Source organism: Homo sapiens, chromosome 10, assembly GCF_000001405.40.
Source record: "Homo sapiens chromosome 10, GRCh38.p14 Primary Assembly".
NCBI classification, from domain to species: Eukaryota; Metazoa; Chordata; class Mammalia; order Primates; family Hominidae; genus Homo; species Homo sapiens.
This window is the reverse complement of record NC_000010.11, coordinates 83,647,356-83,664,465: the sequence shown is the minus strand read 5'-3', so window position 1 is coordinate 83,664,465 and position 17,110 is coordinate 83,647,356. Positions and strand designations below refer to the sequence as shown.

General features: G+C 37.6%; 1 long non-coding RNA gene across 1 annotated transcript in view; it reads right to left on the bottom strand.

The window, feature by feature from the left end:
* Positions 1-13,510: 13,510 nt before the first annotated feature.
* Positions 13,511-17,110, bottom strand: part of LOC105378396 (uncharacterized) — a 66,197-nt gene continuing 62,597 nt past the window's right edge. Inside the window, exon 4 of the long non-coding RNA NR_172928.1 lies at positions 13,511-15,148. This is a non-coding gene — a long non-coding RNA (uncharacterized LOC105378396). The remainder of the gene's footprint in view (positions 15,149-17,110) is intronic.

Genomic DNA, 17,110 nt, shown 5'->3' with positions numbered 1-17,110 from the left:
CCTAAGTGTTGAAGCCTCCAGGATTCAGTTTTCAGGTGAAATAGTTACAATTAAAATTTCTCTCCAAAACTTACCATTTTAATAGCCACCCCTTCAAGGTGGCCCAAATGACTCACATGACACCTAGAGAAATCAAAAAGTGCCTCAGTGCTGAGCTGCAAGGAAGAAGGCGGGTATAGATTAAAGTCATTGATCAACATCATAGAATAAGTCTGCTGGTTGCCTCCACAATGAGGAAAGAGAAATTTGCATTTCTTATTTCTAGGACAATAATTGTCCTGCTATCAGAATGCTGTCGCATGCCTGGTACTGATTTATAATGCTGAAGCAATGTGACTCTTCGGCAGCTTCTCTGCAGAGCAGAGGGTAGCCTGCCATGTGTCCACCTTTGGAGGGAAGTGAATGCCACCAAGTTGGCCATGATTTATGGCCCAGAGTCAATGCTGTGTTTCTGAAAAACTGCATATTGGAAACAGCAAGGGGGGAGAGGTCAAAGAAGCTGGTGTTCAGTGAGGGGATGTGGCCACTGTTACACTTGGAATGCATGATCTGCACACCTAGTAAGGACTATCAAAAACACAGCAGTTAGGGAGAGGCTTCAGGCCACACGTGGGCTACCCAAATGCAATGTGCAGAGAGGAAACTTCAAACACAGGGCCACTGAGAACCATGCAATTGAACAGACCGGAGCATCAACTGATCCTTTAATTGCTGCAGCTGTGTTCTATGCAGGAATCCACACCCCTTAGGAAATGGTCATGCTATAGATGCATTTGTCACTATGCTACTTTCTGTGTATATCTCTGACCAGCTTTGCCTTTAGACCTGGTTTCACTATTAAATGGGAAAAAATGAGGTGTTCCTCATACCTAACAGTAGAGACACAGTAGAAAGTGAACAGAGCCTTCCAGTATCTGAATCCTAGCCACATGGCTTCCTCTGCTGTGTAATCTTGGGTACATTCAAAAAGTTTTGGTGCCCCCATTTATATGTACAGCAAAGATTCATGTAATTATTAGAAAAGAAAGTAAAGGAAAGAGCACATTCCAACTACTTTCGTTTCAGGATTAGCAGTTATTTCAACAGTTTCAATCCTAAAGAGCCAGGGACATATCTCATTTCTCTGTTGTTTCTTCTGGAACACTTATTTGCAGCAGAGTGACCACCAAAGAGTGGACAGTCCATCAGTATTAGCATGGAGGGTGACCAGGAAGCAGGCAGTAGAAGGAGCACACAGCCACACCTATTCGGCAGATCACTGCTAGCTTTTCTGTGACCATCATGGATCTTACCACGAAGCTGGGATGGGATTCTTTATTTCACCTGTTCTATGATTCAGAACATTGGTTGATTCAAAGAAATTGATACTGTTGTTTATCAGACTAAGATTGACAACATGAATCATCTTAGTAAAGCAGGACTAGAAGATAAGAAAGAAGTAATCACTTAAATAAGCACATGACAGTATTACGTAGTCAAAGAAGAATACATTCGAAGTCCAGCTTCAATAATCTGTGAACTTTTGAGTAAGCCCAGGTAACTTCTCACCAAGTCTGTGTCCTACCTAAAAATATTATAGCCCTTTTACAATCATGTAATAATATAGGTAACAAAAGTAGATGCTAAATATAGGGTAGTATTGATATCTGTTGTTATTGTTAATATCATTATCTTGATGACTAATTGTCAAGAATCAATCTAAACATTTTGTGTACATTAGACTTCCACCTGATTGTCACTGACTCTCAACTATGATATATTATTCTCTGTCAGCAACATTTCCTAAATCTTCATGGCAATCTCCCAACCTTCCATCCATCTATCCACCCATTTATCAAAAAATTATTAAACTCCTACATTATCCTGGGGGTGTTATCAGAGCTGGATGCCATGGCATCCAACACTAATAATAATATCAGACTTCCTCAAGTGCTTACTATGTGCCAGGCACTGTGCTGAGTGCTTTGTACCTGCTAACTCATTTAGTCCTAAAGCAACCCTATGAGTTCTATTCTAGTTTTATTAAAACTTTATAAATAAGGCAACGAAAGTCCATTAAGTTAAATAGCATTCCCAGTGTCACAGAGCTGACCAGCGTTGGTGCCAGAATTATAATGCAGGAGGCACCTGGACTAACACATCTGTGTTCTTAACCACTACACGTATTCTCATGAACCTACAGTCTGGAGAAAACAAGCAATAAACAAGTTAACAAATGTATACCTAATGCAATTTCAGTGACCATTAAATCTTAGTAGAAAATAATGGAAGAGAATAGTCTATGAATAAGGAGTAGTTGCCTAAAAATCTGAATAACAAAAAGTAAAAACGTGTGTGGATCAAATGGGAGAGTTCCCTAGGCAGCATAAACCATCGGTGCATCAGTGTATTTGACACAATGAGAGGGCCAGTGTGAATATCATGGTCCAATTAGCTTTGCTGCAGAGGTAAAAACAACCCCAAATCTCCGAGGCTTACAGAATGTAACGTGGATTCCCTGCTAATGTTACATTTTGTTGGCTGCCCCGTATTGTGGGAGAAGGAAAAGAGCACAAATCACCAGAACCATAAAACGTCTCATGAAACCTCTGCTGTGACATGGTTGTCATCACATCTGCTCCCTTTCTGCTGGTCCAAGAATGTCTAGTGGCCAAACCTAACGAAGGGGTGGGCCGAGGCTTCAGGCTAAGCCATGTGGCCGCAGCAGAGGTGAGGTTCTAGTGGGCCAGTTCCTATTCTCAGACACAGCAGAGATTGTCTCTGGGTTTGGAAAGAACGGATCCTAGTGTAACAGACAAGTCTTCCTCAAGCATTGGAAAAGCCAGAGGCCTGACACTAGGCTGTGTTGATACCTGTCTGTAGGAGTTTTCAAACCTGGGTCCCCAAACAAAAGGCACTCCTTAGCTTTCTCTGGTGTCCAAAGACTGAGAGAGGTGGTTCTCTGATAAAGAGAGTTCTGGCTACCTGTGAATTGTGGAGGAAGCAGGGTGAGAAAGGGTAAGAATATGCTGTAAATACAAGGCTACCTTTCTCTGCACTTGAATTCTAGCCCTGGTATTGCAGAAAAATTACTTAACATTGGTGAGGTTCATACATTTTATCCATAGAATGGGGACATCAAAGCAACCTCAGTGATGATTGTTTTAACAGGCACTAGGAATGACAATACTATTTGTATTAGTTTGGTGGGGCTGTAATAACAAAATACCACAGACTGCATGGCTTCAGCAACAGACATTTATTCATTCACAGTCTGGAGGCTGGAAGTCCAAGATCAAGGTGTTGGCAGAGCTCATTTCTTCTGAGGCCTCTCTTCTTGGCTCGCAGATGGCCATCTTTTCTCTGTGTTCTCATATGAGCTTTTCTTTGTGCACATTCTTAGTGTCTGTTTTTGTGTATGCATTTTCTTTTCTTATAAGAAAACCCATCAGATTGAATTAGAGTCCCCATTTTAATGGCCTCATATAGTCACATTCTGAGATACTTGGGGTTAGGACTTCAACTTGTGAATTTTGGGGAGACACAGTCCAGTTCATAACATTAGGAACACAAAAAATGATCAGTAGATTTTCCTTTCTGATTATAGGATTCTCCTTTCTCTGATGTCAGATTTTTTTCTTTCTCTAAGAGAGGTAGAGCATTAGGGTGTGTGATTTGATCTTACAGAAGTTTAAGGAAGTATAAAGATAAATGATTCAGGGTAAGTTGCATTTTTCCCATGTTGTGGTTTTCCAGGCATACCCACCAGTCTAGACTTTATCACAAGTGGCACTGGCTGTGTGGTGGTCTCTCATTACATCATGAAGAAAATGGGTCTCTCACCTTTCCACTATCAGGGAATCCTGGGGTTAGCATAGCTTTCATGTAAATCAAAACAGTGAAAAAGAGGCCCAGAGAAAGAGAGGCCCAAGAAGAGAACTCTTCTTGTAATAAAATGCAGGATTCCCTAATAGAAACCTGAGAGGATACCAGCAGTGATCACATTAGAAACTCACCAGGCTCACCTCTAATATGAACTTTAAATTTTCTTAACATCCTAGCATCTGGCCAAGGGTTGTCGCAGCCCCTGCAGATACAGAAACCTCAGCAGAAAGGACATCAGAAAGGACAAAATTGCCACTGAGTAAAGAAAACTGCTCTGCTTTGGAGAAAGACAAAACGTTATAAAAAGAAGAGGTTCAAATGGATTTCTCCCCTAAGGCTTTAAGAGACTTGAAAATGAAAGCTAGTAGAATTATCAGGTGAGGGGGACAGAGACTATTGATCTAGAGAAGAGAGAAGGAGAAAAAACACCCATTGAAGTCACATTAAAGAAAAAAAAAAAAAACACTGGTATAAGACAAGAGAGCAGGCAATTTTAGAAGTCCAGAGAAAGAAGGAAGATAATAAAAGATAATGAATGTCTTTTGCATCACAGAGAAGAGGAATATTTAAAAAAAACAGTAGAGTAAAAAGTGGTGAAGAGAAATGTAGATGCTTATAGCAGAACACTCTTCCTTATTCGTGGTGATACAGCTGGCCAGAGAGATGTTTCCATGTGCTGATGAAATCCTAGTTATCAATAGTAAAACAGACAGCCATCAAAACTCTGGTCTATACTATGTGACACATCTTGAATTGTCTGCCCACATTCAGTTTTATTTCCTTACTTAAATATTGATAATTCTGTTATCTATTCAACACATTTTTTGGGAAGAGTCTATTTTGTGCTAGGCAGTGTGTGATGGAACCATAACAATATGTAAGTTATCAGAGTAACAGGATTAAAAGACGTAGAGACTGCTGTGCATTGACACAGAATCATAACTGAGTCATCAAGTCTATACTATATTTTGAGCATTGTTACATTTACCTTATAGTATAATCTGATTTTTACACAAAAGCACATGAAATAGGTAAATATTTTGACCCCATTACACAGATGAGAAAAGAAGAGGCTATGTAATTTGCCCAAGGTCATGTGGTTAATATCAGAGCTAGGATTTGAAATAATGCAGTTTTGCTCCTGAATCCACACTCCAATCTGCACTCTGCAATCCCCCATGCCACACCATCTATGAAAGGACACAGAGGTGGAACTTTAGACTCAGAATTCTCAATAATAGCATAAGAAATGTTAGTTACTTTATTTACTATTCTTCATGACCTGACGGAACATGTGGCATTCAATATAGGCTAGATCTTAACATCAGATAGCCCAACCTGGAGTGCAAAGCCAAAACACTTTTTCTCAATGAGGAGGTTAAGTAGATCAGAAAAATCTGACTTCATTCTAAATATGTAAAAAATGAATGCAAAACAATTATTTAAAACAACGTATCTGAGCACTAAAGCAAAAAATAAATAAATAAAAAGAAATGCTCAATGCTACATGAAATGGAAACTCAAATCTAAAATAATGATCAGAAAGTGGAACTTAGCTGTGCACAGAAGTAAGAGGACCAAATGTATCCTAGAAGCTGAAGTTTTGGTGCCTAATAAATACCAACCATGTATAAGCCAGAGATGGAACCAAGTTCCCTTCTTAAAGGTAGGAACCTGGATATGACATTTAATTATTGAAGGGAGACACAAAAAATCTACCCTGGCCAAGTGCAGCGGCTCACACTTGTAATCCAAGCTCTTTAGGGGGCTGAGGCAAGAGGATTCTTTGAGCCTAGGAGTTTGAGACCAGCCTGGGCAACATAGTGAGACCCCATCTTTACAAAACAAAATAAAAACATATTAGATGGATATGGTGGTGTGGGCCTGTAGTCCCAGCTACTTTGGAGTCTGAGGCAGGAGAATTGCTTGAGCCCAGGAGTGGGAGGCTGCAGTGAGCTGTGATGGCAGCACTGCACACTAGCCTGGGTGACAGAATAAGAAGCACTGTTTCTAAAGAAAAAAGAAAAAAACCCAACACACACAAAAAAACACCCACAACTTGGGAACTCAGCAGGAAAATAAGCAACCTGCCCAGAGCATGAACAATGCACTATATGTGTGTTTACCAGAAGAAGATAGGTCAAGTTTGCATCCTGTTAGGAGGAGAAATTGGCATAAAAATTGTCCCCACGTTTGCCAAATGTTTAGGGTTCCAGCACAGGCAAAAATGAAATCTTAGAGTCATTTCTCTAAACCTTCCACTCAAAGAGCAGGGATTGTACTTTCTTTTCAAGAATAAATGAAACATTTTCAAAACTAAGCATACATTAGGTCATAAAAGAAATAAAAATAAAAATTTATAGCAAAAAATCATTAAATATTAACAAAACACACCTCTAGATTATAACAGGTTAAACCAAAAATGAAAACAAAGCTTTTAAAGATGTTCTCTGGCAAAAAGATGTTGGAATAGGACTTTCTAGTGCCCATCTCCTTACAGAAACATCAATTTGAACAACTGTCCACATCCGAAAATACCTTTGCAAAAGGCAAGGAATCCAGGTGAGTGGTTAAAGCACCTGGGTGGAGCACAGGAATAAGATTCATTGAAGAGGGTAGGAAAGAGTTTCATAAGGCCTGTATCACCTGCTCCCCAATCCCAGTGTGAAGAGAGACACTCTCTGCTTAGGGAAAAAAGAGGGAAGTAAGCACTATACTTCTCCAGGGATCCCAGCTCCAGGACCACCCCAGTCAACCCTGGTACTAGGCCAGCCCCAGTGGTCCCAAGCTCCAGGCAGGCATCTGTGGACTCAGCCTCCAGGCCCACACTAGCACCAGGCCAGCCCCTGCAGACTTAGGCCCCAGGCCTGTACCAGTGCCAGGCTGCCCCAGTAGCAGGTTGACCCTCAAATCCCCAGGCTCCAGGCACACCAAAGCCAGAATAGCCCCTCTGGCCCCAGGACCTAGGCTTGCCTGTGCAGACCCAAGCTCCAGGCTCAGCTCTGTGAACCCAGTCTCCATGCCCACCTTAGCATCAGGCCAGATGCTGTGGCTGCAGGCACAAGATCAGCAGCCATAAAACCAGGCATCAGGCCAGCCCCTGAGGCCCTAGGCTCTGGTGGGCCCAGGGTTCAGGCCCACTCCAGCAGATTCAAGGTAAAGGCCTATTCCAGTATATCTCAGTGCTGGGCCAGTCCCTGTGAATCAGGCTTCAGAACCACCTCTACAGATCTAGGCCAGCACCTGAGAACACAGGACACAAGCCTGTTCCTGTGGACTCAGGTTTCTGGCCCTCCCCAGCACCAAGCTGGCTTTGCAGACCCAGAATTCAGGACCATCCCCCAGACCCAGGTGCCAAGGCCACCCTGGCACCTAGTAAGCCCCTGCAGAACCAGGATCCAGGACTGACCTTAACAACCCAAGATCCAGGCCCACCACTTTGCACTCAGGCTCCAGTCCTATCTTGGTGGACCCAGGCACCAGGCCCACCCACCTGCTCACCCAGGAACCAGGCCAGCCTGCCCAAAGACTCCAGCAGCAACCACCAGCCAGCCCACCCAGAATCTCTGGATTAGTTGACCAATGAAGTGCTTTCCTTGCCAAATCCAATCTATAAAGGCTAGAAGAGATGCCTACTTCTTCTTCACTAGCCAGTAACAAGCATACACCCTGTTCCCTTAATGGTGTAGCAGAAACTACATGAGGAATCCGTCCTTTCACCCCAACCAGAAATATACTCCTTCCTATTTCTGTTATTGAGCTTTCAGAAGAGTCCTGTTGGAGAGTCAGGACGTTCATCATTGCTAGCAGTAAGAAGCTCCCACCCCTTATAGTGTCAGTGGAGACCATGTGGGGAGCTAGAACTCCCATCCCTATCAAGAAGTAAGGAAAAGTCCCCTGATTTCCTGTTTATGGAGGCTGAGTAGGGTGCCTGGACTTCAGCTTCCACCTGGCATTAATGAAGTGACCTACTTTCTTTTCCTGTTGGGCTGACATCAAGGAAATGCAGCTAAAGTAGAAATCTTACATATGATTCACAGTCTCATATAACATAAAACAAAATGTCCAGGTTTCAATCAAGTATCATTCGTCATATTAAATATCAGGAAGATCTTAGACTTAATGAAAAAAAGAAATACAGAGATGTCAACAATGAGATGACAGAACTGTAAGAATAATCTGGTGACGATTTTTGAAGAAATCATGCTAAAATTGCTTAAGTGAGCAATATAAATACATTTGAAACAAATGAAAAACAGAAAGCCCAACAGAAAGAGTGTAGAAGGTGGTTACCAAGGGTAGGAAAATAAGAGAAATGGGAGATGTATATTAAAGGGCACAAAGTTGCAGTTATGTGGGACAAATAAGTCTGGAGAGTCAATGAACAGTATAAAGACTAAAGTTAATAATATTGTATTGTATACTGTAAATTTGCTAAAAGAGTAGATTTAAGGCTGGGTGCAGTGGCTCACACCTGTAATCCCAGCAATTTGGGGGGCCGAGGCGGGCGGATCATGAGGTCAGAAGATCGAGACCATCTTGGCTAACATGGTGAAACCCTGTCTCTACTAAAAATACAAAAAATTAGCCGGGCATTGTGGTGGGCACCTGTAGTCCCAGCTACTCTGGAGGCTGAGGCAGGAGAATGGTGTGAATCGGACCAGGAGGCAGAGCTTGCAGTGAGCCAAGATCTTGCCACTGCACTCCAGCCTGGGAGACAGAGCAAGACTCTGTCTCCCAAAAAAAAAAAAAAAAAAAAAAAAAAAGATTTAAGGTGGTTTCACCATAATTGTGTGAGATGATGGGTATGTTATTTGGCATGACTGTCATAATCATATTCCTAGGTATATAAAAAATCACTTGTACACCTTAAATATATTTAATAAAAGCCACTGAATTACCAAAAAGTTATAGTTACATCAAAATGGAATTTTAAAAAAGTTCAAGTAACCCGCAGAAAACGAGAAAATAAAATGGAGAAATAAAGACAGAATAAAAAGAAAGCAGAAAATTAAATAGCAAACTTCTGGTTTTCAGTCCAGTATGTAAGGAGTTCAAAAGTGGTTACCAGAGGCTGGTAAGGATGGGGAAAGAGGGAGATGAAGAGAGGCTGATTATAAACATGCAGTTAGATAAAAGCAGTAAAACCCAGTGTTCAATAGATCAGTAGGGTGACTATAGTTTATTGTAATCTATTTTATATTTTGAAATAGCTAGAAGAGAGTAATTTGAATGTTTCTAGCGTAAAAAAGACAAATATTTAAGGCAATGGGTTTTTCAATTACACTGAATTACAAATTATATGAACATATGAAATTATCACATGTACCTTCCAAATATGTACATCCATTATATATCAATTTTACAAAATTTAAAAACTGAAAAATCATCAGCTCTTCTTAGGTCCAGAAAAAAAGTGAGACCAATAAAATCAATAAGTCTACAGCCAGACTAAGAAAAAAAGAGAAGACAAATTAAAATAATCAGAAATGAAAGAGGAGGCATTATTACAGACACGATGGACATTAAAATAATAATAAAGGAATATTTTATACAATTATATGCTCACCAGTTAGATAAACTAAATGAAATGGACCAACTCCTTGAAAGATACAATCTGCCAAAACTCAGATAAGAACAAATAAACAATTCTAGTAGGCCTATAACTATTAATAACCTTCAGCCACAGAGTACACACCAGGCTCACATGGGATTACTGGGAATTCTACCAAACATTTAAGAAAGCCTTTTTACCAATTCTCCATAACATTTCCCAGAACATAGAAGCAGAGGGCTACTTCCTAACTGAATCTGTGTGGTTCACATTACCCTAACACTAAAACCAAAGACATTACAAGAAAAGAAAACTACAGACCAATGTCGCTCATGAACATAGATACAAAAATCCTCATCAAAATATTAGCAAACTGAATACTTTAAGCTATAAAAAGTGTACACACCATGACTCGGTGTGATTTATCCAGGTATGTAAGGCTGGTTCAACATTAGAAAAATCAATTAGCATAATTAATGTAATCCATCATATCAGCAGACTAAAGAATAATCATGCTCATATCACTAGATGAAAAACATTTGACAAAATCCAAAATGCATTCATGATAAAAAACTCTCATCTAACTAGGAATAGATAGGAACTTCATCAACTTGATAAACATCTACAAAAACCCCACAGTTAACATCATACTTAATGTTAAGAAACTGGAAGCTTTACTGCTAAGATCAGAACAAGGCAAAGATGTCCCTCTCACCAGTGGATTTCAAAGTCATGCTAAAAATCCTGACTAATGCCTAAGACAAGAAAGGTAAATAAAGGCTTTCAGATTGGGAAAAATAACATAAAACTGTTTTTATTAACAGATGACATACATTAAAATGTGTATAGAAAATGATCATCTGTACAGAAAATCCAAAAGAACTGACAAAAAATAAACAAACAACAAATTTCTGGTACTAATAAGCAGTTATAGTAAGATTGCAGGATACCAGGGTAATATACAAAATGTTAATTATTTCCCTGTACACCAATGATAAATGAATAGAATTTGAAAGTAAAAACACATTACCATTTAGATCAGCATCCCTAAACATTAAATACTTAGGTATAAATCTAACAAAATATTATAGGATTTACATGAGAAAAACTAAAAAATCTGATATCTGATAAAAGGTATCAAAGAAGAACCAAATATATGGGATGAAATTCTATGTTTATGGATAGGTAGACTCATTATGGTCAATATGTCAGTCTTTCCAACTTGATTTATAGATTCAATACAGTTCCAACCAAAATCCCATCAAGCTATTTTGTGGATGTTGACAGTGGATTCTAAAGTTTAAACAGAGGCAAAATATACAGAATAATCAACTCAATACTGAAGAATAACAAAGTTTGAGGGCTGATGCTACTCTACATCAAGAGTTTTTATAAAGCTACAGTAATTAAGGTGGTGTTATTGTTGAACAACTAGACAAATAGATCAATAGAACAGAATAGAGCCTAGAAATAGACCCACATAATGTAGGGTCTAAACTTTGACAAAGAAACAAAGACAGTACAATCGAGCAAAGATACTGTTTTCAATAAATGGTACCAGAATATCTGTACACCACACTCCAGAAAAAAATCTAGACACAAATGTACATTCTTCATAAAAATGAATTCATAAAGTGTTATAGACCTACATGTAAAATTTGAAACTATAAAACTCCTGGGAAATAACAGGACAAACCCTACAAGTCCGAGGGTATGGTGATACATTTTTAGATATAACACCAAAGGTATGATCTATGGAAGAAAGATTTGATAAGCTGGACTTCATTAAATTTTTTGGAAGTCCCCTCTGTGAAGGACAAAGTCAAGAGAATTAGAAGACAAGTCATCAACAGAGAAAATATTTGCAAAAGACACATCTGATAAAGAACTGTTATCCAAAATACACAAAGAACTCTTAAAACTCAACAATAAGAGACTTCTAGTTCCAAAATGGCAGCATAGAAGCTAGCTGACTTCCTTTTTCCTTCAAGAAAATTATAAAGAAACACACAATGCCAAGATGATCACCAGTATTTTCCCAGAGAAGGCCTCACTGATAATGTGATATGTAAGGAAATGCAACAAAGAGGAGAGAGAATGAGATGTAGATTTGGGGGAAATAATTTTCTAGACTGAGGGAATGGCCAGGACAAAGGCCCTAAGTCAGGAACATAGCTGGTATATTCAAGAATCTTTAGAAGATCTCATGTGGCTAAGAAGAATAGAGAAGTAGTGGTGTTCTTTAGGATATTTATGATTTTTTTGTTTGTTTTATAAAAATGCTGCAATGGACATATCTTTGTATGTTTTCTCTTTAAAAAAGGACTGTCTTTTTTTTTTTAAGAAAGGTGAATCTGTAGAATTAAAGTTCCTGAGTTTCAAGGTGTGCACATTTAAAATGTTGATACATATTCACAAACTGGCCCTCCAGAATGAATGTAACAATTTTACTCACTGTCACTGTTTTCCTATCTTTGTCATTACAGAATAATATCAATTTTCTCATTTTTTCCAAAAATAAGAATCACGATGATAACAACAACAGTTGGCATTTGTTAAGCACAGATTATATGCCAGGCAAGTCAACAGGGGCATTATGAATATTAACGAAGTCCTTACATAAATACTATATGTTATCAGTGTTATTTCCCCAGTTCATATCTATAAAGACATTGAGTCATAGCAAGGAGTGAGTCAGTATAACTCCAGAGCCTGGACCATTAACTAATTAGCTATAATCAATTTAACAGGTAAAACAATTTCCTATTTGAATTTGTTTCTTGGGTTATTAGTGAGATTATATGAACACATTTGTAATATTTCAGTCGAATATTTGAAGCTTTTAATAAATGACACTTTCAAGACATTTCTCATTAAGATGTTTTGTTCATTTTATACTGACTTCTAAGCTCTATACTATTTTGATGATATTAAATGGTACAAATATGAAATCCTAGTTGTTCATTTGCCTTTTAAGTTTGTTACAATATTCTTTGTTAAAGAGGAATATTGTTTAATATAACAAATTATACATTTTCTATCGAAAGTTATTTTATGGTCAATATTGGTAGATATGTGCCTTTACAAATGAAACAAAAGGCAGTATTTAAAAATTTCTGGTAAATAGAATTAAGGATATAAATAAAATTAAAACTAATACAGAGTATTATTATTGTACACCAGGAAAATTCAAAAGGATTAATTCAAAATAATTTGTTAACTTAAAGATGCTTTCATTGAGATAAAAAATACATGAGTATACAAAACTGCTATGTCCAGCTTTTACCCGTAATGACTCTCAAATATCCAACAGCCAGATCACCACCCCAGAAGTTTCCTTCCCAGTAACTTCCCAGTAAATGCCCTTCCCAGTAAATGCCATCCTCTTTTTAATTGTATCACCATTAGATTAGTTCTGCAGGTTGTGTGTATATGTGTTTTAATTAGGTATAACTTTCATATAGCAAAATGGACAAAAATGTATAGCTTATATGCATACACCCATGTAAACATTATTCAACTCAAGATACAGAACATTTCCATCTACCCAGAAATCTCCTTTTGTCCCTTCTCAGTCAAGACTTCTTTGCAGATAACCAATATTTTGATTTCTATCGGCCTAGATTAGTTTTGCCTGTTTTTGACCTTCATGTGAGTAGACTCATAAAGGATCTTTTATTATTCAGCATCTTTCACTCAACATGTAGTTGAGTGATAACTAGTTACTTCTCTTTGTCAATTGCAGTATTCCATTGTATGAATATGCTAATTATTTATTTCTCTTTTGATTTACATTTGAATCGTTTCCAGTTTTGTACTATTACAAATACCGCTGCTATGAGCATTTGTAATAGTAAGTTCATGGGGTTGGATTCCACCAATCTAGTAGGGATTTAGCTTAATTAAAATGTTTGATTTGCATTCAAGTTTATGACTTTAATAAAGGAGCCAAAATAAAATAGATATAACAAAGATAAAAGCATCCCATTAAACCAGCAACAACAATAATGAAGATTCCATTTATAATAAAATTAAATTATCTAAAATAATTAGGGCTAAACCTAATATGAGGTACACTAGATCTTTGTAAATGGAACTATAACATTTTATTGGGATAAATAAAGAGGCAGAATTGATGGAGACAAACCACATACTTGAATATTTCAGCTAAATATTATATAAATGTTTAATATTTCTAATTTACCTTATAAAATTAGCACAACTGCAACTTAAATCCCAATATAGTTTTGAATTAAATAATTCTAAAATTAATTTGGGACAAAAGTAATGAGAGATAAAGAAGGGTATTTTATCAATAATAGTGACAATTGAAGGAGGCCGATGTTACTGAATCTGAAATGTATAAAACAGTGGTAGAAAACTGAGAATTGATTTAAAAAAAACCAAAATTCTTGATACATGATAAGGTAAGCCTTTCCAAAATTGATTAAGAAAGGGATATTTAACAAACAATATTGCTTATACCTTTGGAAATTGAACAGGTTGGTCCTCCGTTTTAGCTGATAATTGGTCTCTACCTGGTAAACAAATGGTATTTACAAAGATCCATGAAGATGATGAGGCTGATGGGGTTTACAATGAAATTATCTATTTTTGCTCCACGATTCTGAAGTACCAACTGTAAAAAGCAGATCCGTTGGATAGATTCATTAGAAGCAGGAGAATCTTGATAAATATAGCACCATGAAGTTGCTACATATATTAATCAGGATAGATTATGCTACAGGAACAAAACCACATATTTGGGTGGCTTGATGCAATAACAGCTTTCTTCCCTTGTACTCAAACTCTGCTGCAGGTCTGAGAGGCATTCCAGAGTTTCTGTCTTTCACATGGTACATACATTTCAAGATGCTTTGATCTTGCAGCGTCTCCGTCTAAACACAAGCTTCTGCAATCCCTGCCGCAGAGAAAAGGAACATGAAAAAAAATACACCAGCTAGTACCTGCCTAGGCTCACATTTCATTGGCCAGAAGTACTTATGTGACTTTGCTTCATTTTGTTTGTTTTCTATCATCCTATCACCCGGTATGTGGCCAGGAGAAGACAATTGGGTATTGATGAAAATTCCAGCACACTGGCCTACCAAATAAAGGGATACTGTACTAAACGCATGCTTCTTGACTTTGTTCTTTCCAGACTTTGCGTTATAATGCCAGAGCTAAGATGGAGCCCTGTGGCTTCAATGGGAAGATCTTCCATCTTTGTCTATAGCTCCACAGAGTCTCCTCAGGGATTTGTAAAACCATTCATCTTCTCTCCGCTGAGGAAGAGAAAAGCCTTCCATGGCTTACAGAAATCTTCTGATGATATTCTAATCTGCAGCGAGAGGTCGATCTCAGGTTTTTATGAACACTTGATAAAAGTTTTCCTGAGTGAGTGCCTCAGAGCAGGCTTAGAGATCAGAAAGAATCAGCCATAGAGGGTGGATGGATACATTCCCAAGAGGAATTGGCTGTCAGTCTCTGGGCCATAAAATTTTATGGTGCTTAGCATGAGTTAAATGTATCACAAAAATATAGCCCAAAAAGAACACTGATTCCTGCAGACTATGCCAGCTCAAAACAACATTATCTTTTAGGGTGTCTTCTATGCTTCCAAGTTAATGCATATGAAACAACTCTTTTTTTCTGTCACTCAACAAGAATACACACAGATACGGAAGTCTTCTGATCCTAGGGGATGTGTTCCAAAGTCCCAGTTGATGCCTGAAATCACAGATAGCACCAAGCCATATATATGTTATACTTTTGTTTTATACATACATACTTATGATGAAGTTTAATTTATTAATTAGGCACATTAAGAGATTAACAGTATCTGTTAATAAAACGGAACAACTATAACAATATGCTGTAATAAAATGAGCATGTGGTCTGTGTCTCTCTGAAATTATCTGATTACACAGTACTTATCCTTCTTCTTGTAATGATGTGAGATGATATAATGCCTATGTGATGAGATGAAGGGAGGTGAATGATGTAGGTATTATGATGTAAATAAAAGAATTCTGGAAATAGAGAATTTATAAGTTTTAAATTGTGCACCCTTCTGAGTAGCATAATGAAATATGACACCAACACCATCCTGTCTGTCCTGCCTGGATTGCTGTTAGTCACTTAGTAACCGTCTCAGTTATCAGATCAATGGTGGCAGTATCACAGTGCTTGTTCAAGTAACACGTATTTTACCTAATAATGGCCCCAAAGTTCAATGGTAGTGATGTAATATTTTCCATTCTTTGTTGACCACCAGTAACTAAAACTGTGGAAAATAAAACTATGAATAAGGGAGACTATTGTATATCTTATTTATTTGCTGAAATTTTTTTATTTTGTCCATACATTCTGAAGACAAATTGGCTCGAGACTATTGTATATCTTATTTATTTGCTGAAATTTTTTTTATTTTGTCCATACATTCTGAAGACAAATTGGCTCATGAATGAAATCTAACAGTAGTATCTAAACTTTTAGATCCCTTATTACATAAAAATGTATTACATATAAATGTATGTATTAAATACAGTACAGCTGAAAATTAGCCAAATATAGACATAAGATAGTTATGTGCAGAAGGAATTAAGCCTTAATGCCAGTTATATCATGCTCTGATTCTAAGGAACTCTCAGTGTCTCACTTCCTTCCTCCGTATAACTAACAGGCAAAGTGAGAAAGATACTTTAGCTGAAGTGATTTTATTTAAGATCCACTTCAGCTAATCCTTAAAGACATAGACAGACTTTAGAATTTGGTAGATAGAACTAAGTTTGAATTCAAGCTCTGCTTATTACTAATCAAGGAATAATCATGGGACCTTGAGAAAATTATTTGACTTGTCCAAATGAGTTTCATTATTAGTAAAACAGGGATAACAATACCTCCTTCATAAGACTATTTGAAGAGAAATAAAATAATGCATTCCATGGTACCACAGAGATCCTGGAAAATGGGAGGTTTTTAATACATATTTGTTCCCTTCTCTTTAATAAGATATATGTAATGGGGGCTTTTATATATTGCTGTTCCATTTATGTTTGGTATCTGATCTTCTATGTTTAAGCCAATAAAGCTATTATAAGAATTCTTATGAAATGTACTTTGTGTATGAATGTATACAAATAAACACATGCATACACACACAGACAGACATATGTGATTCCTTGATTCTCATTTTTCTCCTAATTTTCCAAATTCAGCTTTGTGCAATTTATTTAACTGATTGCTCTGATAGTTTAGTGCTATGTAACAGATCACTGTAAAACTTAGTGGCCTGAAATAGGATGTAGTAAACTATTGCTCATGGCCCAAATCCAGCCTACATCCTGTTTTTGTGTGTCAATATGCTAGGAATATTTTGTTGTTTTTTTACTATTCTTGAACTTTTGTAAAAAAAAAAAAATACAACAGAGCCAGCATGTGGCCTGCAAAGCTTGGAAAATTTGCTATTTGGCCTTTGCAGGGAAAGTTTGTTAATCCTTGGCTTACAACAACAATGAACATTTATTTTGTTCACAAATTGGCAACTTGGGTATGGCTTGGTGGGGAAAGCTCATTGCTTCTCCACTTAATGTCAGTGGGGAAGGTTTGACTGAAGCTAGAGGATCTGCTTCCAGGATGGCTCATGCACATGACTGGTGAGTTGGTGCTGGCTATTGACTGGGATCCCTG